Source organism: Homo sapiens, chromosome 12 (assembly GCF_000001405.40).
Source record: "Homo sapiens chromosome 12, GRCh38.p14 Primary Assembly".
NCBI classification, from domain to species: Eukaryota; Metazoa; Chordata; class Mammalia; order Primates; family Hominidae; genus Homo; species Homo sapiens.
Window position 1 is genome coordinate 27439628 of NC_000012.12, and position 27420 is coordinate 27467047.

Below are 27420 nucleotides of genomic sequence, written 5' to 3' on the forward strand. Positions count from 1 at the left end.
GAAATCTAACAAAGACACTGAAATGATTTTTTAAAACTGAAACAGAAATCTTGGAACTGAGAAATACATTTGCTGAGCTGAAAAACTCTAGAGGCTCTCAACAGCAAAATGAACCAAGCAGAGGAAAGAATCAGTGAGCTTGAAGACTGGCATTTGAAAATACATAGAGAAGAAAAAAGAAAAAGAAGAACAAGGAACAAAGACCACCTACAAGATATAGAAAAAAACTTCAAAAGACCAAATCTAAGAATTATTAGTGTTTAAGAGGAAACTGAGGAACAGCAAAAGGTAGAAAGCTTGTTCAAAGAAATAATGATAAAAAGCTTCCCTAAACTTGAGAAAGATATAAATGTGCAGGTAGAGGAAAGTCTTAGAACACCGAACAGATTCAACCCAAATAAAACTACCCCAAGGCATTTAATGGTCAAATTCCCAAAGGCTAAAGACAAAGTGAAGATCCTAAAAGCAGTGAGAGATAAGAAGCAAATAATATATTAAAAAGCTCCAGTTCATCTGGCCACAGACCTCTCAACAGAAACCACAGGGGCCAGGAGGGAATAGAAAAACATTTTCAAAGTGCTAAAAGAAAAATAAAAACCTGTCACTCAATAATATTGTATTCTCAAAATTGTCATTCACATTTGAAGGAGTGATAAAATCTTTTAGAGAAAAACAAAAGCTGAGAGAATTCACCAACACCAGTTCTGTTGTGCAAGAAAAGCTAACGGTAGTTCTTCAATCTGAAAGAAAAAAAACACTAACGTGCAAAGGAAAACTATTCAAGGTATAACCTCCACTGGCAAATTAAATACGCAGACAAACCCGGAATACTCTATGACTGTACTTGTGGTGTGCAGTCCACTTATAACTCTAGAATGAAGCCTAAAAGATAAATCTAACAAAAACAACAATAGGTAGAGCAACCTGTTAAGAGACAGGCAATATTAAAATAAATTGAGGCAACTAAAAGTCAAAATGTGTGCTGGGGGTGGTGGAGTTAAAGTGTGGAATTTTCTGTGGGTTTTTTTTTTTTTTTTTTGGCCTTTGTTTCTAGTCTTTTATTTGTGATCTAGGATAAGTTGTTATCTCTTTAAAATAACTTTTATATCTATAAAATGTTTTTTGTAAGCCTCAAGGTAACCACAGCATAAAAACCTATAGTAGCTTCACTAAAAATAAAAAGCAACAATTTAAAATATACTACTAGAGATAATCACTTAACCACAAAGCGAGAGAGGAGTCTCAAAACACAGAAAACAAGCAACAAAATGACAGTAGTAAGTCCTTACTTATCAATACTAACACTGAATGTAAATTGTCTCAATTCTCTAATTAAAAGGCATAGAGTGGCTGGGGATGGTGGCTCATGCCTATAATCCCAGTACTTTGGGAGGCTGAGGTGGGCAGATCACTTGAGCTCAGGAGTTCGAGACCAGCCTGGGCAACATGGCAAAACATGTCTCCACAAAAAAAATATAAAAATTAGCTGGGCACGGTGGCACACGCCTGTAGTCCCAGCTACTTGGGAGGCTGAGATTGGAGAATCGCCTGAGCCCAGGAGGTCAAGGCTGCAGTGAGCCATGGTCGTGCCACTGCACTCCAGCCTGGGCAACAGAGTAAGACTCTATCTCAAAAAAATAATAATAAAGAAGGCATAGAGGAGCTGAATTGATAAATAAGTAATATCTAACTACATGCTGCCTTCAAGTTGCCCACTTCGCCTATAAAAATACACGTAGACCGAAAGTGATAGGGTTGAGAAAGCTATTCCATGCAACTGGAAACCAAAAACAAGCATGACTAACTATACTTATATCAGATAAAATAGACTACAAATCAAAGACTATAAAAAAGATAAGGATGGTCACTATATAATGATAAAGGGGTCAATTCAGGAAGAGGATATAAAAATTATAAACATCTATGCACCTAACACCAGAGCTCCCAAAAATATAAAGTAAACATTAATAGGGAGAGAGAGACTGCAGTACCATTATAGTGCGGGCTTTAACACCTCATTCACAGTAATAGACAGATCATCCAGACAGAAAATCAACAAGGAAACAGTGGGGTTAAATTACACACTATATCTAATAGGCCTAACTGGCATTTACAGAAGATTTTACCCCACTGCTGCAGAATTCATAGTCTTTTCATCAGCACATGGAATATTTTTCAGAATAGACCATATCTTAGGTCTGCATAAATTCAAAAAAATAGAAATCATGTCAAGTATCTTCTCTGACCGCAATGGAATAAAACTAGAGATCAATAACAAGAGCAACCTTGGAAAACATACAAACATGAAAATTAAACAACATGCTCCTGAACAACCAATGGGTCAATGAAGAAATTAAGAAAGAAACTTAAAAATGAATTGAAACAGAGGAAAATGGAAATACAACATACCAGAATCTATGTGATACAACAAAAGCAGTACTAACAAGGAAGTTAATAGCAATAAATCCCTAGATCAGAAAAGTAGACTTTACATAAAGAACCTAATGATGTACCTCAAGGAATTAGACAAGCATGAACAAGCCAAATCCAAAATTAGTAAAAGGAAAGATATAATAAAAATCAGAGCAGAAATAAATGAAATTGAGACAAAAAAATTAATGAAATGAAAAGTTGGCTTTTTGAAAAGATAAAATCAACAAAACTTTAGCTAGACTAATTTAAAAAAGAGCAAGAGAAAGAAAGAGACTCAAATAAATAAAATCAGAAATGAAAAATGGGACATAGAAACTGAGACCTCAGAAATACAAAGAATCATTAGAGACTAGTATGAACAACTGTATGCCAACAAATTGGAAACCTAGAAGAAACAGACAAACTCCAGAACACACAGAGCCTACCAAGATTGAACCATGAAGAAATAGAAAACCTCAACAAACCAATAATCCAAGCCATAATAAAATGTCTCTTATCAAAGAAAAGCCTAGGAGTTGATGACTTCACTGCTGAATTCTACCAACCATTGATTTATTTATTTTTTGAGATAGGGTCTCACTTTGTCAGCCAGTCACTTTGTCAGGTCTCACTTTGTCAGTACAGTGGATGGTTCACTGCAGCCTCAGCCTCCTGGGCTCAAGTGATCTTTCTGCCTTGGCTACCTGAATAGCTGCAACTACAGGCATGCGCCACAACACCCAGCCAATTTTTGGATTTTTTTGTAGAGACAAGGTCTCACTATGTTGCCCAGGATGATCTTGAACTCTTGAGCTTAAGTGATCCTCCCACCCTGGCCTCCCAAAATGCTGGGATTACAGGCATGAGCCACAGTGCCTGGCCTCTATCAAACATTTAAAGAACTAATACCAATACCAACCCTACTCAAATTATTCTAGAAAATTGAAGAGGACATTCTTCCAAATTCATTCCATGAGGCCAGCATTACTCTGATACCAACACCAGAGAAGAAAATACCACAAAAGAAGAAAACTACAGGTCATATTTCTGATGGACATAGATGCAAAAATCCTCAACAAAATACTAGCAAACTGAATTCAGCAATACATTAAAAAGATCATTCACCATGATCAAGTGGGATTCATCCCAGGGATGCAAGGATGTTTCAACATATGCAAATCAATACCTGTGATATATCACATTAATGGAATTAAGAATAAAAACCATATGATTATTTCAATAGATGCCAAAAAACATTTTTATAAAATTCAACATCCCCTTATGATAAAAAGGCTCCTCAAAAATGGGTATAGAAGGAACATACCTCAAAATAATAAAGCCCATCTATGACAAACCCATGGCTAACATCATAGTGAATAGGGAAAAATGGAAGGCCTTTCCTCTAAAGACTGGAACCACACAAGGATGTCCACTTTCAACACTGTTATTCAACGTAATATTGGAAAGTCCTGGCCAGAGTAATTTGGCAAAAGAAAGAAACAAAAGGCATCTAAACTGGAAAGGAAGAAGTCAAATGAGCCTTGTTTGCACATGACAAATCTTATACCTAGAGAAACCTAAAGACTCCACCACAAAACTGTTAGAACTGATAAATTCAATAAAGGTGCAGGACACAAAATCAACATACAAAAATCAATAGTATTTATATATGCCACCAGTGAACAATTTGTAAAAAATCAAGACACCTAGGAATCAATCTAACCAAAGAAGTGAAAGATCTATACAAGGAAAACAATAAAATTCTGATGAAAGACATTGAACAGGACACAATAAAATTGAAAGATACTCCATGCTCATGGATTGAAATAATTAATATTGTTAAAATTACAATACTACCCAAATTAATTTACAGATTCAATGCAATCCCTATCAAAATACCAGTGACATTCTTCACAGAAAGAGAGAAAACAATCCTAAAATTTATATGGAACCATGAAATACTTCAAATAGCCAAAGCAATCCTGAACAAAAAGAATAAAGCTGGAGGCATCACGCTACCTAACTTCAAAATTTACCACAAAGCTATAGTAACCAAAGCAGCATGATTTTATGCCAGTATGCCAGCATATTGGCATAAAAACAGACACACATAGACCAATGGAACAGAATAGAGAACCCAGATATAAATCCACGCATTTACAACCAACTCATCTTTGACGAAGGCATCAAGAACATACAATAGGGAAAGGACAGTCTTTCCAATAAATGGTGCTGGGGAAACTGGATAACTATATGCAGAAGAATGAAACTAGACCCTTATCTCTCAACATATACAAAAATCAAATCAAAATGGATTATTGACTTGAATCTAAGACCTGAAACTGTGAAACTACTAGAAGAAAACACAGGGCAAATACTCAAGGGCATTGGTCTGGGCAAAGATTTCTTGTGTAAGACCTCAAAAGTATAGGCCATCAAAGCAAAAATAGACAATTGGGATTACATCCAGCTAAAGAGCTCCTGCACAGCAAAGGAAACAACTAACAAAGTGAATAGACAACCCACAAAATGAGAGAAAATATTTGTAAACATCACTAAATCATCAGAGAAATGCAAATAAAAAACACAATGTGATCGTATCTGTCACCTCAGTTAAAATAGCTTGTATCAAAAGGACAGGCAGTAACAGAGGCCTACAAGGACGTGGAGAAAGGGGAACCCTCATCCACTATTGCTGGGAGTATAAGTTAGTACCACCACTATGAAGAATAGTATGGAGGCTGCTCAACACACTAAAGATAGAACTACCATATGATCCAGCAATGCCACTCCTGGGTATATATGTGAAAGAAAGGAAATCAATATATCAAAGAGATAGCTGCACGCCCGTGTTTATTGCAGCACTATTCACAATAGCCAAAATATGAAATGAATCTAAGTGCCCATCAATGGATGAATGGATAAAGAAAATGTGATATATATATACACAGTGGAGTATTATTAAGCTATAAAAAAAGAATGAAATCCTGCCCTTTGCAGCAACATGGATAGAAATGGAGGCCATTATGCTGTGTGAAATAAGCCAAGCACAGAGAGACAAATATCGTATGTTCTCACTCATATGTGGGAGCTAAAAAAAGTGAATCTCGTGAAGATAGACAGTAGATTGGTGGTTACCAGAGGCAGCGAAGGGGAGGGGAATAAAGGCAAAACAAAGAATATCAATGTATTTATTGCTACTGAACTGCATTTAAAAATGGTAAATATGGTAAATTATACATGTATAGTGTACCTCAATAAAATTTTTAAAAATACAGGAACCCAGTTTAATTTGAATTTCAGATAAACCATGAATTTTTTTTAGAATAAGTATATTCCATGCACTATTTGGCATATAATTATATTAAACATGTTTTTACTGTTTACTTGAAATTCAAATTTAACTGGGTGTTCTATATTTTATCTGACAACCCTATTAAGAGTTTTGAATTTCAATAATTCATATCACAGCCTTAGTTTAGGATTCTAAAATATGAAACAAAAGCCACAATTTCAAAACTGAAAACTTGCAACGTAAACTATATAAGCTCAATTTGTTACAGCTGCAATTCACTCAGACCCACATGTCCCAAGATAAGACCACAGACAAACCATTTTAACAGTTAACTCCACAGGGACCCATGTGTCCCAGCAAGACCACTTACCTTTCCACAAGTGTCTTAGCTCAGGCTGCCATCACGAAATACCACAGAGTGGGTGGCTTAAACAACAGAAATTTATTTTCTCACAGTTCTGGAGAATAGAAGTCCAAGATCAAGTGCTAGCATGGTCTGTTTCTGGTGAGGGCTCTCTTTCTGGCTTGTAGAAGGTGGCCTTCTTTTTTTCTTTTTCTTTTTCTTTCTCTCTCTCTCTTTTTTTTTTAAGACAGAGTCTTGCTCTGTCGCCCAGTCTGGAGTGCAATGGCGTGATCTCAGCTCACTGTAACCTCTGCCTCACAGGTTCAAATGATTCTCCTGCCTCAGCCTCCCAAGTAGCTGGGATTATAGGCACCCACCAACACGCCCAGCTACTTTTTGTATTTTTAGTAGAGATGGGGTTTCACCATGTTGGCCAGGCTGGTCTTGAACTCCTGACCTCGTAATCCACCCACCTCAGCCTCCCAAAGTGCTAGGATTACAGGCATGAGCCACTGCACCTGGCCAATGGTGGCCTTCTTAATGTGTCCTCACATGGTGGGAGTTGGGAAGCAGGGATTGGGAACAGAGGGAGCAGGAGGGGAAGGGGAGAGAGAGATGGAGGAGGGAGAGAGAAAGCTCTCTGGTGCCTCTTCTTATAAGGGCACTAATCTCATTTATGAGGGCCCCACCCTCATAACCTCATCTAACCTTAATTATCTCCCAAAGGCCTGATCTCCAAATACCATCACATTGGGGCGTAGGTCTTCAACATATGAATTTGGAGGGAAAAACAATTCAGTCAATAACACAGAAACTTACCTAGTTTATAAATTGGATCAATCCCTGACAAAACGTCACTGATCAACTTCCACTCTGAAAATACTCCATGACTAACCAGCATCCTAACCTCCCCACTTTGAGACACTATGGGACTCTATCAAGATGATGTTGATCCTCGAGTTTAATAAGAGCCAATGTGGGTTCTGTGACATCATCATCTCTCTGCTTCTGATTGGTCAAGTATCCTCTCTCTCTCCCCACTTTTCTCCCTCTAATCCAGTGGTTCTCAAACATTAGCTGTACCTGAGGCCCTTGGGGAGCTTCTTAAACCTCAGGCTGCTGGGCCCACTCCCGGAGTTCCTGATTCAGTAAGTCTGGGAGGGGGCCTGGGAATTTGCATTTCTAACAAGTTCCCTGATGCTTTTGCTGATGCTGGTCCAGGGACCATGCTTTAAGAACTTCTGCCTTAGAGATCCTCTTGAATTGTCTGGGGTCGGGGTTAGGGACGGTGGCTGAGCATTGGCATTTTATAAAGTTCCCCACGTGATTCTGACATGGAGACAGCATTGAAAACACTGTTCTAATGCAGTTTCCACACTGTAGTCAGTGTGCTTTTTGGAAAGCACAGATCCGATAAAGGAACTCATCAGCTTAAAACAGTGAATGGCATCTCACTGCCCTCAGTAATAGACACAGCCCCTTAACAAGGCTTATGGGGCCCTGTATGATGGGTTTCCATTTACTTCACTTTCACCTCCAGCCCCTTCTTGAGCTACCTCACCACCTCATGCCCCACAGTCCAGGATTACTGGGGAAACCACAGTTCCCTGAAGATGATCTTGATCCTTTTCTCCATAAGGCTTTGCCCATTCTGCATCTTTACTGGGGAAGCTGTCACCACCGACACACCTCTCTACCTGGCTAACCCTTTCTTGCTCTTCAGAGCCTTACTACTAACAGGGTGATCCATGGACCAGCTGCAACAGCCTCTTCGGGAGCTTGTTAGAAAGGCAGAATCGGCCAGGTGCGGTGGCTCACACCTGTAATCCCAGCACCTTGGGAGGCCAAGGTGGGAGGATCGCTTCAGCCCAGGAGCCTGAGACCAGCCTGGCAACACAGCAAAACCTTGTCTCTATAAAAAATACAAAAACTTAGCTGGGCATGGTGATCCGCATCTGTAGTCCCAACTACTCGGGAGGCTAAGGTGGGAGGAGGTCAAGGCTGCAGTGAGTGGTGATCGCAGGCTGGGAGACAGAGCAAGACTCTGTCTCAAAAAAAAAAAAAAAAAGCAGAACTTTAGGCCTCACTCCAGACCTCCTGAATCAGAACCTACATTTTAACAAGATCCTAGAATGATTCACATTTACAGTAAAATTTGAGAAACTGTTTTCGGGCTTCTGTAGATGTACTTTCTCTGGACTTACGCGTCTGAGCCCCAGAAACTCAGCCGAGTGCCTCTCCTATGTGCTGCCACCGCAACCTTCCCTAGCACTTAACACATTGCACCTGACCAGAGCCAAGTGGCCTGCAAGCTCCGCAGGGACAGGAACTGTATCTTTACGCATGCTTGCATTCTCCACTCCAGCACAGTACCTGACACATAGCAGATGCTCAAAAATAGTTATCAATTAAATACATGTTTTTAGAAACAAGTAGAGAAAGTATTAGCTTTCCGGTTAGAAAATTTTGGACTTAAGTTCTTGATTTACCACTTACTAGCTGTAGGACCTTGAACAAGTCACCCTCCTCCCAGAAGTTGTTACTCATTGTTAAATTGAGAATATTATCAAGTACCCTACAGAGGTGTTGTCAGGATTAGTGACATAATAGATGTAAACCCAGAATGCTATGTCTGCCAGGTCAGAATTGCACGATAAAGAAGAGTGCCCTCCGCCTTAGTTCTCCCAAGCGGCAAGTCTTTACTGAGTTTAGTAGAATACTACTTGTTGAAATAGAAAGGGTGGCCACACTTGAACTTAATGCCATTTTTCTTTCTATTTTCCCCCAACTGCATAAAAGCAAAACCAAATAAACAAACCTGAGAATTGAACTGGAATCAATGCTTTTCTCGGCATTGTGTCAGAAGAACAAAACTTAAACTGGGGCCAGCAGACCCTTAAGCTCCTTAAGCCAGGCTCTGGGACCCTTGGGATTAAATTTTTAAAATCCTCTCTCCAGTTCTAAACAAAAGTAAACAAGGGAACCTTTTATAATGTGGTTCAAGGTGAGGCAGTAAACAAATGACCTTTAAGCAGAATAATCAGCTTAATATGTACTAGCTGGAGGTTAACATTTGCATTGAGAAAGGTCTTATGGTCTTATTGATAATTCACTCGGAGGTCACTCTAACATCCTCTACCCTCATTCTCCAACCACATGATTCTCTAAACCCCTCAATCTCCCGCTCCCACACATAGTCTACCAGTTGACCAAATAATGAGAGAAGAATGGAATTGTCAAACCAGAATCAAAGGGGTAAAAGACAGAAGGACTTTGAAAGAGGAGAAAGAGAAGGCAAGCGGTGGGAAACTGTCCATCCACTGCAGACTCAAGTGTATGTTGGCTCAAAAAGTTGAGGACTAAGGCCAGCCTAGGTCTCAGCCACCCTGCAGGCTTTGTGTGGGTCTGAAAACTTGACCTGATTATATGCTCCTAAGTGTTCTAGACTGGCTAAACCAAGACTGTTGAATTATAAATCATGCCACCCCTGCACCCGCTTCCGTGATCACAAAAAAAACATAATGCTAGCGTTATTAGATAAGCCGCAAAGGTCATCAAGGTGTTTCTTTGAACTGCCACACCCAAACGAAATACTTGCTCTGATCTTTGCATAAACAACATTTGGATGAACAAACATTTCATACTTTCGTTATGTTTATCTTTGTAAGGGACAAAATCTGTCACCTGCTGCATACTTCTGAAAAAATTATAGGAACAAGTTGACATACTTTCTCAATTATACAGAATTCTCTGCAAAAATGAAATTATTAAAATTAATTGTGAGAAACACAGGAAACTGCTTATGGAGGGATCACAGTAAGAGACTGACAGAAGGGAGTAATGAGGCTTCTCCTCCATTTCCTTCTTGGAAACTTTTTCTGCACAGAGAAAATGTGGTTGAAAACCTATTGTGCCTTGGATTGAGTTAAAGGTCACACCCAAGGATTTATACAGATTTAGTTCTCATCTGGTCCCTTGAAGGGGGGAAAAGTTAAAATATCCAATACAAATCCATTGAGTGATGCACTGATAACACCAATTATGTCCCACTCCCCTCTTGGTACATTGGACTTCTATTTCTCTGGCTGGGTATTTCCATTGTCCTATAATACAATGACAGGCTCTTACAAGGCCAGTTTTCCCCCATTAGAGAACCAAAAGGAGGGGCTGAGCCCATTTCTTGGGCTTTAATGCCTGGCTACGTGGGTCCGAATCTCTAGCTAAGCCCTTCCTGTAGGACTGTTGAAAGACTCGAGCAGGCAGCCCTGCCTTTGCTGCCTCCCTTCATTCGTTCTCACCTCCATCCATTCATCGGCCAGTTTTAGCTCATGACCCCTACTCCAATCATAATTGTCTCCTCTTAAGTCAATCTTATCAAATGCTGTGCGGAATGGATTCTGTGGGCCACATTCAGGAACACAGAGTTCTTCCCAGCTCAGCTCTGCTCCTCTCAGGGTAGAGGTCTGTGGAGCCTCTGGCTGCCTGTCCTGTTCTGAGGGTCACACCTGGTCACCAAAACATATTCTCCTCAAGGCTGTTGACCTTCCTTTCTTGATTCAGGCCTTGCAATCCCTACCTTGGGAAGGAGGCAGGCACCCTATTTCTCTGGCCCTCCTCCCTCCCTGCCCCCACCCCCCACCAACTAGGCTGGGCTGCCTGACAAGCACCATGTGACCTCGCCTGTTTCTTCTGATGCCCAGTTTCCACTGGACCTCTGTGTCCTCATTACAAATGAATTTTATCAACTAGCTGAGGCTTCTTCTCACCTAGTTTGTTAAAATCCAACACTAGTAAGGCTAGGACCATTCCTTCAGTGCAAACAGTGTGCTGAAGATGAGTGTAAGTTAACATTGATTTTACCCTCAGCGGCTCCTGGGAAGCCATACTTCAGGACTGGTAAATCAGCACGAGGAGGATCACAACCCAAAGTGCTCACAGAGGGAGCAGTGCTGCCAATCTTTATCTAAACCAGGAACAGAGAATAGATGTTGAAAAGAATGCTCACTGGTGAAGGACTGTTCCTAGATTTTTTCTAAGTATTCTTATAGCTATTTAGAAATTGACTTTCAAGAATATTTGCCTGTCTCATAAAATTAAATAACAATTCTATATTAAGGTAAAATGGGCTAAATCTTTTTAGGTGGTGTTTTCTTGGTCTTTTTGTATGATTGGCTTCATACAGTGAGTACTGCAAAGTTATGTCCATGAACGAGGCTATCCTCACAGGGAAAGAGTTGCTGCCCTAAATAATTTCTTGGGAGGAGTGAAAGAGAAATTTTAGAAGCTTTAGGAGACACTGATTTATTCCAAAGAATTCTAGATTTTGATAAACTTTACAAATTGCCAAGCCGAGGCTCTCATTCATCTTTTCTCATGTAAATAATAGAAAGATACAAATATATCTGTCATTTATTTTACTACTACAGATAGTTATTATTTACTATTTGTTCTCTGTCCAAAATTTCAGATTACAGTTAATTCTCATTATACCTGGTAGTTCTGTTCTGTAGAGTCTCTGTGAACACTGAATTAGCAAATGCAAAACTGTTGCTCCCAGGGGAAGTACAGGGTTAGGCTCTTTCAAGCCTCTAGTCACATTTTTTTTTCTAACATTATCTTTTGGAGGCTCAGCCTGACATTGTGGGGAGAGGGGGACCCTGGGCTGGATAGCACTCCCCATTGGGGTTATAACGGTCATCCATTTCTGTCTCTTCTCTTTCCCCCAACCTCCCCCCTGCTGGTCCCCTCTCTAGTCACATTTTTATCAAATGATCAATATGTAGCCTCGTTTTATATGTGTTTCTGTTTAAAGACACTGTGCTCAATATTTACTGTTGATGCATTAACATCCAGTTCACAGCCAACAACAAGGTTTATCTAACACGTGTATTTTCTCCACAAAGCACCTCACAGCCTTCCTGAGCTTAGGAACGCTGGACAGTGCCTCAGCATTGCACTTGGAGTCCACTTTAAATGAATATGTGCATTGTGTGACTCAAGCTTTTTGCCACTCTGCACATGTCTGCCTCAACAGCATGAGGCACATTTATTTGGGGGTTGCAAACAAACTGTACGTAGTAGGTGGATTAGCAAATATGCAATCTGTGAATAATGAGGATCAGTGAGGAATAATGAGAACCGTGCATATTCCTGGTTCCATGGCTTCTCCTGTCCCAACTACCCTCCTTCTTGCCTTCTCTTCTAGAATCCTCCTGGGCCTGTCTTCCTGAAGTGAAATCCATAATAGGAGCCTTTTATTACCACTGTTCAAGTCACCTTATATATCCCTCTCTGCAGGGAATATCTGTGAACTGGCAGGAGTGGGATGCAATAAATTCAGTCATAGTTAAGAGATCATAGCTGATAGGACACTGTTCCAAGGATATTTACAATTTTGTAAGGACCTTTTCTTTAATCATACTGAGGAATGAAGCTTTATCAGAAGGATTGCGGAGTCATAGGGTGGATACTAGGGAAAGTGGGAGTAAAGAAGGCTCACTTCTTTTTTGTATAAATTAAGTTTGTATAAATTTTGTATCAATTGTACAAGTGCAACTTTGTTACAGGCATAGATTGTGTAATGGTCAAGTTGGGGCTTTTAGGGTATCCATTAACGGAATAACATACATTGTACCCATTAAGTAATTTCTCATCGTCCACTCCCCTCCCACTCCTTCACCCTCCTGAGTCTCCATGGTCTATCTTTCCACATTCTACCACATTTTAAATCCAATCATCCACTGATGGACACTTAGGTTTATTCTATATTTTTGCTGTTGTGAATAGTGCTGCAATAAACATATGAGTCCAGGTATCTTTTTGTTCTCGTTGAAACAGAGTCTTGTTCCATTTCCCAGGCTGGAGTGCAGTGGCATAATCATGGCTTACTGCAGCCTTGACCTCTTGGGCTTAAGCAATCTTCCCACCTCAGTCTCCCAAGTAACTGAGACTATAGGTGTGCACCACCACACTCAGCTAATGTTTTATTTTTTGTAGAATAGGATCTGACTATGTTCCTCAGACTGGTCTTAAACTGCTGTGCTCAAGCAGTCCTCCCACCTCAGATTCCCAAAGTGCTGGGATTACAGATAAGAGCCACTATGCCTAGCCAGGTATCTTTTTGATATATTTACTTTCCTTTGGGGAGATGCCCAGTAGTGGGATTGCTGGATTGTATGGTGGTTCTCTTTTCAGAAGAAGGTTCATTTCTGATATCACATCACTAAGGGACCACCTACTATGGGCATCGTAGCTTTCTTCCTAGGCCCATGGTTGTAAAAATGTCCCATGAAGTCTATGGTTCTGGAGTTCTGTTTGATGCCAACAATCTCAGAGCATTAGAGCCCATGGCCTGCTCCTCCTGGGGTCTCACTGAGCATTTCAAGTTGCTATCCCAATGGCCAAAGGGAGACATCTGTAGATTGGCCCCCAGTTTTTAAGCAGGTAAAATTCTGGAGTTGAGCATCCATCATATCATACAAGGTCCCTGGCCATGATAGTACCTTCTCCAGGAATTGGCTAGGTGGGAAGACATGTTCCGTGTCAGCCCTCCAAATGTGGTCAAGAGTCTTCCTTGTGGCTTGGGTACACTCCCTGTTGTTCAAAGGTTTATCATTATGAAAAGACCATTCTAACCAGAGCCTACTGAGATAAAAGCTGCTGCCCCATCCTGTGCCGGGGCATGTGAGTGCTATTTCAGTGGCTGTGTCCACAGCTCTGAAAATCTATACCTTGGATGAAAGCCCAACTAGAGAATGGAACATTCTCTTATATATATTCTCTGAAAAACTGTCACATATGCTCAGACATGAAAGAACAGAAAGGCTGACCCTGGCAGCTCCCCACGCTGCAGAATTTCAAAAATGCCTGAGGCCTCACTAAAATGAACTGTCTGAACAAAAGGAAGTAGAAAGAGTGAAAGGAGACAGAATGTTGGCCGATATGGTTGCCTCTCCTCCCTCTATCCCCAGCCTCCATCCCTCCAGATGTTTTTGCTGAGCTTCTGTCAGCCTTCTTGGCTTACCCTTTAGTCCCTGCCCCAGGGAGCTGAATTCAAGTAAGTACAGCAAATGTGGCACAAATCAAGAAAAAAGCCTGCCTTTTCCTGTTAACTAGCATTAGTTTTAGTTTATTTTTAAAGCAACACATTGTTTTCCTAATTATAAGACTTGCCAAACTTATTGCAAAGAATGAAAAGAAAACTGCAGGTAAGCAACAAGAGCAAGTGTCAAAAATCAAGTATAATCTCATCATCCAGATATAACCATTGTTGACATTTTTGTTTCTTTTAGACTTTCTCTATGAATCTCTTTTTTGTGGGGGAGGGGGACAGGGTCTCACTCTGTCACCCAGGCTGGAGTGTAGTGGCGCAATCATGGCCCATTACAGCCTCAACCTCCCTGGCTCAAGTGATCCTCCCACCTCAGCTTCCCGAGTAGCTGGGACCACAGTCATGCACCACCATGTCCAGCTTATTTTTAAATTTTTTGTAGAGACAGGCCACACTATATTGCCCAGGCTGCTCTCAAACTCCTGGGCTCAAGTGATTTTCCCATTTCATCCTCCCACAGTACTGAGATTACAGGTGTGAGCCACCATGCCTGGCCCTCTCTGTGAATCAATATGAATAAATGTTTCCAATGGGATTACATAATGAGTATTGTTTTGTATACTGCTTTTTCCCCTCACTTGGCAATATATTCCAATCATATCTTCAGAGCACCTTTTTGTTTTAAAAGGACACCTCTGCATCCAATTATTTATAGGATGATAATGGGTGATAGGGTTGGAGTTTTAAAATGTTTCCATGTGAACGTTTTACAATTCTCTTTACCTGCCTTTTCTGTGGTATTAAACACATTGCTTAATTCCTATTTTCTATATTTTGGATTGGCAAATTTCTTTTTTTATTATTATACTTTAAGTTCTGGGATACATGTGCAGAACATGCAGGTTTGTTACATAGGCATACACGTGCCATGGTGGTTTGCTGCAGCCATCAACCCGTCATCTACATTAGGTATTTCTCCTAATGCTATCCTTCCCCTGGCCCTCCACCCCACAACGGGCCCCAGTGTGTGATGTTCCCCTTCCTGTGCCCATGTGTTCTCATCATTCAACTCCCACTTATGAGTGAGAACATGTGGTGTTTGGTTTTCTGCTCCTGTGTTAGTTTGCTGAGAATGATGGCTTCTAGCTTCATCTATGTCCCTGCAAAGGACATGAGCTCATCCTTTTTTATGGCTGCATAGTATTCCATGGCAGAGCACCATTTTTAATAGCTGCATGGCCTTCCATTATCATAATTCTTTTAATCAATTCCTATCGTTGAACTTTTACATTATTTCTAGGAATTAAATTGAAAATACATAGAAAGCATTTAACAGCCAGGAAGGCATGGACCCACCACTCAGGATGACCAGGCTGTCAGGCCAGAGCTGGGTTCTGGAGGCCCCAGACTGTTCCAGGCATTAACCTTGGTGTTTGAATGGCAGGGCCTAATTTCATGGGAGAATCCAGGAGGCAGGCATGTGGGGGCATTTGGGAGAAGCACTCCAAGTAGCATCTATCTATCATTCATAACAAATGATTTTTAATATTTTAACAGTCCGGTGGGCATATTGGTACAAGCTTTCTGAATATCGAAATATTTATTACTATTACAAATAGAATAGCTATGAATATCTTTATAGAGAGGTGTCTTCACAAAGATCTCTGATTATTCCTAGAGGCACATTTTCTGGGTCAAAAGATAAGATACATTTGTAGGGCTTTTAGTATAAAATCACAAATTGCTTTCAGAAGAACACAGTTTATAAGTTTACCAAGCTTATTATCTTTTTGATCAACTTTACCATTAAAACCTGCATGCTGTGGAGTAGGTTTTTTGCATCTCAGTTTCTCTTGCCCCACCAAATCTACGTATAGGTATCTATCCCCAAAAACAAAAGAACAAAGTCTTGTATGTGCAAAAAGAAGCACAAACAAGGACATTCATTGTAGCATTATATGTGGTAAGAATAACAGCCCCCCAAAATTGAAAAGAAATGACATATTCAGGAATAGGAGGAATCAATGGCTTATATACTTTAGGATAATTTATGTTGTGAAATATTATGCAATAATTAAAAAGAATGAAGAAGATGTATGAGACTAACATGGAATGTTCCATGACATATTAAGAAATAAAAAGTTTTAGGACAGAACATGTAGCATGATCACAGCAATGTTACATACAAAGAAGTACTGGAGGCCAGCCTCAGTGGCTCACACCTGCAATCCCAGCACTTCGGGAGGCCGAGGTGGGTGGATCCCAAAATCCTGAGGTTGGGAGTTTGAGACCAGCCTGGCCAACATGGCGAAACCCCATTTCTACTAAAAATACAGAATTAGCCAGGCGTGGTGGCCCATGCCTGTAATCCCAGCTACTCGGGAGGCTGAGGCAGGAGAATCACTTGAACCCGGGAGGCAGAGGTTGCGGTGAGCCGAGATCGCACCTTTGCACTCCAGCCTGGGCAACAAGAGTGAAACTCCATCTCAAAAAAAACGAAATAACAAAGAAGTATTGGATTATATAAAAGACATTATATGTATATAGATATGCATCAACACATGGATAAATGTCCTTGGGAAGAATGCACATCAATATAGTGATACCTCTGGGGTGAGAAGTGGAATTATAAGGCAAGTAAAGCGTTTCCTCATTTTTAAAGTCTGTATATTTTTATATTGTTTGAATTCTTACAATGAAAAACTGTTCTTAGTGTGTAACCTGGTCGGCAGAGGGGGGAGGAATGGGGTCTTGCTATGTTGCCCAGGCTGGAATCAAACTCCTGGGCTCAAGCGATCCTCCCACCTCAGTCTCCTGAGTAGCTGGGACTACGGGTGTGCACCACTGCACCCGACTATTGTGTGGTTTTTAACAATTATTTAAAGTATAAAATAAAAGGATTAAAATCAGTTTCTTCCTTTTTGTTTTTTCTTCCTTTTAATTTTTCCTGGTAGAAGAATCATTTTTTTCCCCAAACTTTTACGTGAAACTCCACTGATGTATAAAACCTACCATCAGTGCTGGTCTAGAGCAGGGGTTCCCAACCCCCAGGCTGTGGACTTTGTACCCTGTTAGGTACCAGTTAGGACTGGTAACCTATTAGGACCTGGGCCGCACAGCAGGAGGTGAGCAGCAGGCAGGTGAGCATTGCTACTGAGCTCAGTCTCCTGTCAGAGCCGCAGAGGCATTAGATTCTCACAGTAACACAAACCCTACTGTGAATTGTGCATGTGAGGGATCTAGGTTGTACTCCTTATGAAAATCTAATTAATGCCTGATGATCTGAGTTGGAACAGTTTCATCCCAAAACCATCCCTCCCACTGTCTGTGGAAAAATTGTCTTTCACGAAACTGGTCCCTGGTGCCAAAACGGTTGGGGACCACTGGTCTAGAGGGCAGAGGTTGGCTACCCCGATCAGTTTCTCGTCCTCTTGGTGGCAGGCCTAACAACCCTCCCCTGAACCCTGACTCCCCAGGCCGCACACATTACTAACCAGCTTTGAAGGCCTGCGATCTGTGCAATCCCAGGAGCCTCACGTGTGATTTAACGTTCTGCTGTCACTGTCTTGAAATTCTTAATAATTTTTGAACAAGAGACCCTACATTTTCATTTCTCATTGGGGCCCCCAAATTATGTAGCCAGCCATGGTAGATCAGACACTCTCTGAGTTCTGTTTGTCCCACTCACAAAGTCTCTTGCATATATTAACTCATTTAATTCTCAAAATAGTCTCACGTGGTTGGTATCATTACATAGTCTTTTGTGAGTTTTCACAGTATCAGAACCACTCATCACCCAACCCAGGAATGGGGTCTTGGAAGTCCCAGCCTCTTCCTGAGAAGCATTCTGAGCAGCTGTCAACATCTGGGTCTTGAAATCACAGCTTCAAAGGACTGAAGGTTTCAGGCAACGTGTGGGCTCAAGTCTTTGCAGCCAAAAGCATGTCAATGCTAGACACATCAGTGGCACTTTCATTGCACAGTGTTTCTTTCAAAGCATCTTCCTGATTTCTGTACAAAGTCACTGAGAGTACAGGTGAAGTCAGAATCTACATAAGACATAATAATTTAAAACTTCGTAACCAGTACTTCTGGTTAAAAATAAAATGTAATATCTTTTTGTTATCTCATCTTAGGGGAGGTAGGATGGTTGATGTTTTAGCTGGAAAAAGAATGTGAGAAAATCTGTATTCTATCTCATTCTTTTTTGTTTTGCACCAGCAGAAAGATTAAAATTTTCTTCTCATTCCTCACATATTTGCAGCTTCCTCAATGTCTCCATTTTTCTCATCTGCTGTCAGCTGTATTGTTAAACGTCTGAGAAAAGGTTTTGTATGCAGAAAAGGCTAATTGTATCCGCTTGTGCTTAAATTAATATGCAGTTATTTAAATTACAAATTTAAAAACCTAGTTTTTAATCTAAATTTAACTTAAGCGCATTAGTATTCTATTTATAAATTAATTTTTATTAAAAAACATTACTTTCACACATTCTTTGATTAATGAGTGTTCAATTAATGAATAAATTAAACAGATTAAATTCCTCAAACAATTAACCTCATTTACCAACTAGTTAATTAAACTTCCTGAAAGAGTTTAAATTAAATTTTTACATTTTATATATTTTCCTCTTAAACATTTCAAAGGCCCGAAGGGACTGATAAGCATAAGTAAAAGTTTTCTAAGCACTTATGCAATTCTTATAAATTGAATAAGTCAACTTATAAATAGGGTAAATAAAGGTTTTTTAAAAGTTTAAATAATGTCTACAAACAATTAAATTTAATATTATCTACACTAAATTTTTGTGAGTGATAGAAACCCCTAATTAACATGGCTTAAAGATAGAGTTTTATTCTTCTATATAAAAATTCCCGGCCTGGCACAGTGGCTCACGCCTCTAATCCCAGCACTTTGGGAGGCCAACGTGGGCGGATCACCTGAGGTCAGGAGTTCGAGACCAGCCTGGCCAGCATGGTGAAACCCCCATCTCTACTAAAAATACAAAAATTAGCCGGGCATGGTGGCAGGCGCCTGTAGTACCAGTTACTCTGGAGGCTGAGGCAGGAGAATCGCTTGAACCCGGGAGGCGGAGGTTGCAGTGAGCTGAGATTGTGCCATTGCACTCCAGCCTGGGTGACAGAGCGAGAACTCTATCTCGAAAAAAAAAAAAAAAAAGACCAGGCGCGGTGGCTCACGCCTGTAATCCCAGCACTTTGGAAGGCCGAGGCGGGCAGATCACGATGTCAGAAGATCGAGACCATCCTGGCTAACACGGTGAAACCCCGTCTCTACTAAAAATACAAAAAATTAGCTGGGTGGGGTGGCAGGTGCCTGTAGTCCCAGCTACTCGGGAGGCTGAGGCAGGAGAATGGCATGAACCCGGGAAGTGGAGCTTGAAGTGAGCCAAGATCGCGCCACTGCACTCCAGCCTGGGCAACAGAGCAAGACTCCATCTCAAAAAAAAAAAAAAAAAAAAAATCCTGATTTGAATGGTAGACTGGATAAAGAAAATGTGGTGTATATGTACCACAGACTACTACATAGCCATAACAAAGAACGAGATCATTCATTTGCAGCAACTTGGATGGAGCTGAAAGAGTTGGAGCTGGAGGCCATTATCCTATGCAAACTAACACAGAAACAGAAAACCAAATGCCACATGTTCTCACTTACAAGTGGGAGCTAAACATCAAGTACATATGGGTACAAACAGGGGAACAACAGACTGAGAACTACTTCAGGGTGCAGGATGGGAAGAAGGTGGGGATCAAAAACTACCTATCAGGTACTATGCTTATTACCTGGGTGACAAAATAACCTGTACACACAACCTCTGTGACACACAATTTACCTATATAACAAATCTGCACATGTACCCCGGAACCAAAAATAAAAGTTAAAATAAATAAATAAATATTCATGATTTGGACAGGGACCGTGATTCTTTCAGCTGTCAGCTCTCCTATCCCAATGGGGTATCATTTAGGGTGTGGGCTTCCTCATTGCCCAAAATAGCTGCTCAAGCCATCACACTCACATCCTCACATCCCCACCAGTGAGCAGGAGAAGGGGAACACAGGGCATGCCTCTCATTTTAAGTTGCCCATACACTTCCACCTAACTCACATTGTCCAGAATTTAGTCACCTGGAGATGAAAAAGAGGCAGGAAAATGTGTTTTTTTTCTGTGCAGGCACGCATTGGGCTAAAACCTCAGGATTCTGTTATGACAGCAAAAGGGAGAATACATATTGGGAAATAAGTAGCATAAACCTATCACAAGTTCTCATCTGCCTTGAAATTAAATACCACAAATCTAAAATTAATTTTAACTATTTTTAAAATTAGATCTAAATCATATGTAACATGTATTACCAATTCCCAGCTGCGTGACTTTTCTGTGAGACCATCTTTATCTGTAAAATGGAGACAATGATAGCAACCACATGAGACTATTTTGAGAATTAAATGAGTTAATATATGCAAGGTGTTTAGGACAGTTATTGGTACTTAATAAATAAGAGTTGACCCTTGCACAATGCCGGGGTTAGGGGCACCAACCCCACACACAGTCAAAAATCCAGGTATAACTTTCGACTCCCCAAAACTTAACTACTAATAGCCACCTGTAGACCAGAAGCCTTATCAATTACATAATCAGTAAATTAACACAGATTTTGTACGTTATTTGTATTATATACCATATTTTTACAGTAAAGTAAGCTAGTGAAAAGAAAATGTCATAAAGAAAATCATAAGGAAGAGAAAACATATTTACTATGTTGGAAGTGAATCATAAAGGTGAGTCATAAAGGTCTTCATCCTTGTGATCGTCAGGTTGAGTAGACTGAGGAGGAGAAGCCGGGGGTTGGTCTTGCTGTCTCAGGGGTGGCAGAGGCAGAAGAGGTGGAGGACGTGGAAGGGAAGGCAGGAGAGGCAGGCACACTCGGGGTAACTTTTATTTTCAAAAACCCTCATATAAGTGGACTCTCGCAGTTCAAACCCGTGTTCTTCAAGGTTTGACTGTTCTACAAAAGCCTTAGCTCTGTTATGCAAAGGAAAGGAAATGAGACTCACAGGGCTTATCTTGGAAAACCCACACCAGTGCCCAGAAACCACTGCTTCCTTTTCCAACAGCCCAGAAACCATGTCCTGACATCAATTTCAAGCCAGGTTTCAGAAAGGAAGACACGGTTTCTGTGCAAGGGCATGATATGACCAAGTCAGTCCTGGCACAGAAATCCTCACTAGCTCCCTTCTGCCAGTGTGCTTGCCTGCCTTCCTGTCTTTTTCCCTTTTCTTTCCTCCTTTCTGAAATCCAGAAACCACCCCGCATGTTCACGTGCCTGATATAAAATGGTGTAGTATTTGCATATAACCTATGCACATCCTCCTATGTATACTTTAAATCAGTTCCAGATTACTTCTAATACCTAAGACAATGTAAATGCTATGTCAATATTATATTGTATTGTTCTTAAACTTTTATTATTTTATTGTTGTATTGTTATTTTATATTGTTGAAGATATTTTTTAGCTTTTAGGTTCAGGAGTACATGTGCAGGTTTGTTACGCAGGTAAATTGCATGTCACGGGGGTTTGGTGTACAGATTATTTCATCATCGAGGTAATAGCATAGTACTCAATAGGTAGTTTTTCAATCCTCCTCCTCCTCCAGCCCTCCACCTTCAAGTAGTCCCCAGCGTCTGTTGTTCCCTCCTTTGTGTTCATGTGTACTCAATGTTTAGCTCCCACTTACAGGTAAGAGCATGCAGTATTTGGTTTTCTGTTTCTGTGTTAGTTCGCTTAGGGTAACGTTTAAAATATTTTGGATCCACAGAACCCACGGATAAGGAGAGTTGGCTGTATAGATATGACGATGAATATTTACTTATATAAATGTGTCTTCCACCATTGCCTTCTCTTCTGTTTAATTGGTTAAAACATTCATTGAATTACAATTACTTTCATACAATACGATTTGTCAGACAAACTTTCTTTTCCTCAACTTCTAGATAACTTTAAATCCCTTGCCTTGGCATTTAAGAAAGCTCCCCTTCCCTGGAAATCTTTCTTCCCTCTTCTTCATTCATCAGAACAATATTTGATTCAGGTCTCTTTTACTGTGTGAAGCTCTTGGAAAGTATTAGAAAATCCAGGCTACCCTTCTGTAGGCATTCTTTCCATAATGGTTTCTCTACAATCCTGTAGCACTTACATAAACCATTATTTGCAGTCAGCATGCTACTAACTATTGTTGTTATTTATCTTTATCTAAACTGAAGTTAAAGACTGTTTGGACATCCTTTTATCCTCTGCCTTACTTAGCGCAGAGCCTTAGATTTGTAACTGATGAACATTTGGTAATAGAGATGAGGTTGCTATTACCACCACGTAAGGGGATTTCACAATGATGTTTTTTTCCTAAATATCTATGAAGCCCTGTAGGAACTACCTGCCCTAATTTCGTTCATTCGACGTGCTAACAATTTCTATAGTTCCAGCTCTGACATCACTCTTGCTTAGAGTCTAACGGGAGAGTTTCAGCTTCCAAGAACTTTCTTTACTATCATAGGAAATGACACAGTTTCTCTCCCTCCCCCTTACTCCCTTTCTTTTTCTTTCTTTGAACTCAATTTCCTTAAAAACAGTGATTTTATCATTTTACTAACGGGCTAGAAGCCAGGGACTTCCCAGATGTACAATGAATAATATTCTCTTTCTCCCGGAGGTCAAAATCTTCGCCGCCTGAGGTTTTATGTATTTGACTCCTCCAGACAGTCATTTCTCTTTTTAATGCCTACTCTGTTCCAGGAGCTTTATGTACAATAAAGCCACTGCATACCTACAGTAAGCTGCAAGGTAGCTATTGTTTCCCCATTTTATTAATGACAGAAGTGAAGCTCGGAGGTATTCAGTAGTGTGCAGATATCTGTCTGTACTGGCACAGTTTAAAAAGAGGCACATTCAAACCAGAGTAGCCTACTTAACTACTAGTTTCACAATAGTAATTGAGAGTAAATTAAAATATTACAAACCCCTCCAGGGAAAGGTACTCATTAAAAGGTTTAGATTCCTGTGGGAATATAAATCAACACATATTTACTCCCCTCTAAGTTTACTTCCTGAAATCTCTGGGCCCTCGGCGAAGCCTTTTGCTAACACATTTAGGGCTTAGGGTTTTCTCTGGGATCCCATATCCTTCTTAAGTGTCACGTCTCAGGACTCATTGAGCAGGGGGTGGCCTGGTGGCTGGCAGGTGGGACAAGCTGGGACTACACCATCCCTCCTGCTGGAGTGGAGCAGATGTTGGGGTTAGAGCCAGCTGCCGGCCTGGGACGAAGTCTGTTTCTGCAGCACCAAGAGGTTACATCACTGGATGAGAAGAGGTGGCTCAGGAAAGCTGTCAAGGTCAAGGTCACGAGATCCAAGATGCGACTATGAGGATGCCCTGTGTTTGTGGGTGCTGCTGTTTGTGATTCTTCCCGTAGGCTGGGAACTTCACTTAGGTTCTCTACCATCTTTATTTCTTTATGTCTTTCTTTATTTTTTGAGACAGAGTCTCGCTTGTGTTGCCCAGGCTGGAGTGCAGTGGCATGATCTCGGCTCACTGCAGCCTCTGCCTCCAGGGTTCAAGCAATTCTCCTGCCTCAGCTTCCAGAGTAGCTGGGATTACAGGTGCCCACCACCACGTCCGGCTAATTTTTGTGTGTTTTTAGTAGAGACGGGGTTTCACCACGTTGGCCAGGCTGGTCTCAAACTCCTGACCTCAAGTGATCTGCCCGCCTCAGCCTCCCGAAGTGCTGGGATTACAGGTGTGAGCCACCGTGCCAGGCTTCTCTATAATCTTTGAAAAGGGCTTACCAAAGCACAATCCATGAAGCACAATGCTTTGAGCACAGAAAAGGCTCTGGGGTCAAATAAGTGCGAGAAACAAATGCACTGTTCCCAACCCACCACGGAAATTGGATGACTAACAGCTCTCAAACTATGAAAATAAGCAAACAAACAAACCAACAAAACCTTGTAATCAACAAGCCATACCACAAGCAGTTAAAATATGAATATGTAATATGCAATGTGTCGTGAGAAATCCTGAGAAATCTTTATTAAAAAGAAGGAGAGAGATAAGATGGCAGCCCAAATGCAGAGTGAAGAAATCATTTTTTCCTAAAAGAGAGAAAACAGAAGCAGGTTTTAATACAGAAGCAAAGCAACAGTGCGGAGGCAGAGCCTGAGGATGTCAGAAGTATACTTATACATCTGTTTCCTCAAAGAAATTGGGAGCTCCCAGTGGAATCCCAGCAGAGGCACTCAAGCAGAGGTTTTGAAATTGCGAACAGCGTTTATAACTAATGGAATAGAATCCCCAAAAACCAACAAGGGTCTGAACGAAGGGAGCCTTAGGAAAGAGAGTGCACACATGCTTTCTCTGAGATAGAAGGGGAGTGGGAGATGATGAGGGAAAACACGGGAATATTTTGAATGGAAAAAAGGCTGCACACAGGAGTTGTTTGGCAGTGGAGAGAAGATTCTCATCAGCTGGCCTTGATCAGTGCAGTAAGGCAGAGGCGAGGTCACCGCCCACAGAGGGAGCTGGCAGCATTCAGGGGCTGGCAGAGTGGGAAGGAGCTGAGGAAGACAGAAACCAGCTGTTGGGGCCCATATATTTTGGAGTTAACCAGAGACTCAGAAGAGGCCGGGCGCAATGACTCATCTCTATAATCCTGGCTCTTTGGGAGGCTGAGGCAGGAGGATTGCTTGAGCCTAGGAGTTCGAGACCAGCCTGGGCAACATGGTGAGAACCTGTCTCTACAAAAAGCAAAAAGATACAAAAGTTAGCCGGGTGTGGTGGCGCATGCTTGCAGTCCCAGCTACTCGGGAGGCTGAGGTGGGAAGATGGCTTGAGCCCAGGAGGTCGAACCTGCAATGAGCAGTGATTGTGCCACTGAACTCCAGCCTGGGCAACAGAAAAAGACCCTGTCTCAAAAAAAAAAAAAAAAAAAAAAAGTCTGGGCGTGGTGGCTCACGCCTGTAATCCCAGCACTTTGGGAGGCCGAGACGGGTGGATCACGAGGTCGGGAGATCAAGACCATCCTGGCTAACACGGTGAAACCCCATCTCTACTAAAAACACACACACAAAAAAAATTAGCCGGGCATGGTGGCGGGTGCCTGTAGTCCCAGCTACTCAGGAGGCTGAGGCAGGAGAATGGTGTGAACCTGGGAGGCAGAGCTTGCAGTGAGCCGAGATCGTACCACTGCACTCCAGCCTGAGCAACAGAGGGAGACCCTGTCTCAAAAAAAAAAAAAAAAAAAAAAAGAAAGAAAAGAAAAGAAAAAGAGAGAGAGAGAGAAAAGAATTTGGCCGAGTACCTGTGAGAACCCAGTACGCGAAGTGTGGTCTACACAGTGCTGCTTTAGGGCATGGTCCCTGGAGCCAGACTAACTGGATTTGGGTTTAAATCCAAGATCCCTTCCTTTTCAAAAGGTGGTAAGAATTAAATTAGGTAATATATGTAAAACACTTGGGAGACTGCCTAGCGCATTAGTAACCACTCAGCAAGTAGTAGCTATTACTATTATTGTTATTTTGTGATGGAACTAGTAGTAAGAATTTTGTGATTTTTCCTAAAGAAATATGAGGTCACCCAGGACAACCAAAGGTAGGAGCATAGTCATGATATAAGGTGGGGACTGAAGGCTGGATACTAGCCCAGCAGGCATTGTGGGAGGGCTGTTGATGGAGTCTGGTTCCTAACTAGGTAGGGCATGCAGTACAGACCGTAAGAAAGGTGACACATCTGAACTTGAGCTTTTGGCTGAAGAAATGCTCAGGGTGATAACGAGACCTAAAATATTGCCATAAAAATCATGCCTACCATGTATGCATTCATTCCATTCCTTTGACAACATTTTTTGAGCACCTATTGTGCGTCAGCCACTCTACCTGAAACTCCTTCCTCACCTGGTGCCTTTAACTTCTCAACAAGCCAATTAGGTAGATCTTAGTAAACCAATTTTTCAGACAAAGAGATTAAATTTTGACCCAAACCAAAAAGCTAATAAATGACAAAACCAGGTTTCAGACACTGATGTGATTCTAAAGTTTATGTTTTTAAGAACTGTTCTGTGCTTTATCTCCATGGTGCTGAATGTTTTTGATAGGTGAAGAGGAGTGTCTTAAGAGCAGGGGCTTAGGACTTGTAAGGTCAGACTGTTAGGCCCTTTCCATGGGTGCCGAGTTCACCAAGAATAATGGGAGAGGGAAATGTGAGCCTGGCACTGAAGTCCTGGAAGAAGGTGAAGGTGTGTTGTAAAAGTGTAATAATAAGAGGAACTTCGAAGGAGACGAGGTCACAGAGGTATAAAGTAAGAGCATCCCTGGTTTGCAAGAAGATCAAATGCTTGGGCCCGGTGCAGTGGCTCACGCCTGTAATCCTAGCATTTTGGGAGGCCAAGATGGGTGGATCCCTTGAGGTCAGGAGTTCGAGACCAGCCCGGCCAACATGGTGAAACTCTGTCTCTACTAAAAATACAAAAATTAGCCAAGTGGGCCTGTAATCCCAGCTACTCAGGAGGCTGAGGCAGGAGAATCACTTGAACCCTGGAAGCGGAGGTTGCAGTGAGCTGAGATTGCACCTCTGCACCCCAGCCTGGGCGACAGAGCGAGAGTCTGACTCAAAAAATAAAATAAAATAAAAAAAGGAAGATCAAATGCTTGCTTGTTACTGGTAGAAGACATGTCCTTCATTGTCAGTCTTTGAGCCTCTGTGGGAAAGCCAGATGTTCTGTTCAAGTGAGAGACGAAAGGAGCAGATGTGGTAGAAGAAGCTGAGATTGGAAGAGCATCCCAGAACACCATATCAGAGGCCAGGAGATGGGTGGACAGAGGGCTGGGGTGGAAGAAGGACTTAGTCTCCAGAGTTAGCAAGAGAAGTGAGGAGGCTGAGAGACAGGCTAGAAGGGCAAGGTAGAAGCCAGTCAGGAGAGCACTGCACACCTAGAATCTTGTGAGAGGGGGTTACAGGCACTGCATTCCAAGTGAAATGTTATAAAGGGAAAGTCCAGCAGCACACTTACCTGCCTTGGTGTTTACCACTCAAATGGTTCCTCTCTGCCTTTGGTGCTGAGGAAAGGAGGCTCTGGCACCACTGGAACAGGAAAACTTGACTGTTGCTAGTCTATTCCATTGAACTTACAGATATTTGGGATTACCAAATTGGGAAGAGCAAAGCTATCTCCAGGTATATACTATTTCACAGCGTACCGTCTCATTATGACCTTGTCAGGAGCCTATAGTGACGTCGAATCCCTGA

General features: G+C 41.4%; 1 protein-coding gene and 1 long non-coding RNA gene across 8 annotated transcripts in view; one reads left to right on the plus strand and one right to left on the minus strand.

The window, feature by feature from the left end:
- BMAL2-AS1 (BMAL2 antisense RNA 1) overlaps positions 1 to 7007 on the minus strand; it is a 56846-nt gene extending 49839 nt beyond the window's left edge. Inside the window, exon 1 of the long non-coding RNA NR_109975.1 lies at positions 6870 to 7007. This is a non-coding gene — a long non-coding RNA (BMAL2 antisense RNA 1). The remainder of the gene's footprint in view (positions 1 to 6869) is intronic.
- The window catches only part of SMCO2 (single-pass membrane protein with coiled-coil domains 2), a 78870-nt gene that overhangs the window by 16312 nt on the left and 35138 nt on the right, over positions 1 to 27420 (plus strand). For 4 of the 7 annotated variants that reach the window (NM_001395208.2, XM_017019254.2, NM_001387218.3 and 1 more), the window contains exon 1: positions 7109 to 7198. The exons of 2 other annotated variants lie outside the window; for them this stretch is intronic. The gene's annotated coding sequence lies outside the window, so the exon portion shown is untranslated. Of the gene's footprint in view, positions 1 to 7108; positions 7199 to 27220; positions 27349 to 27420 lie in introns of those variants that run through there. One more of the 7 variants, NM_001145010.3, reaches the window with a different exon arrangement.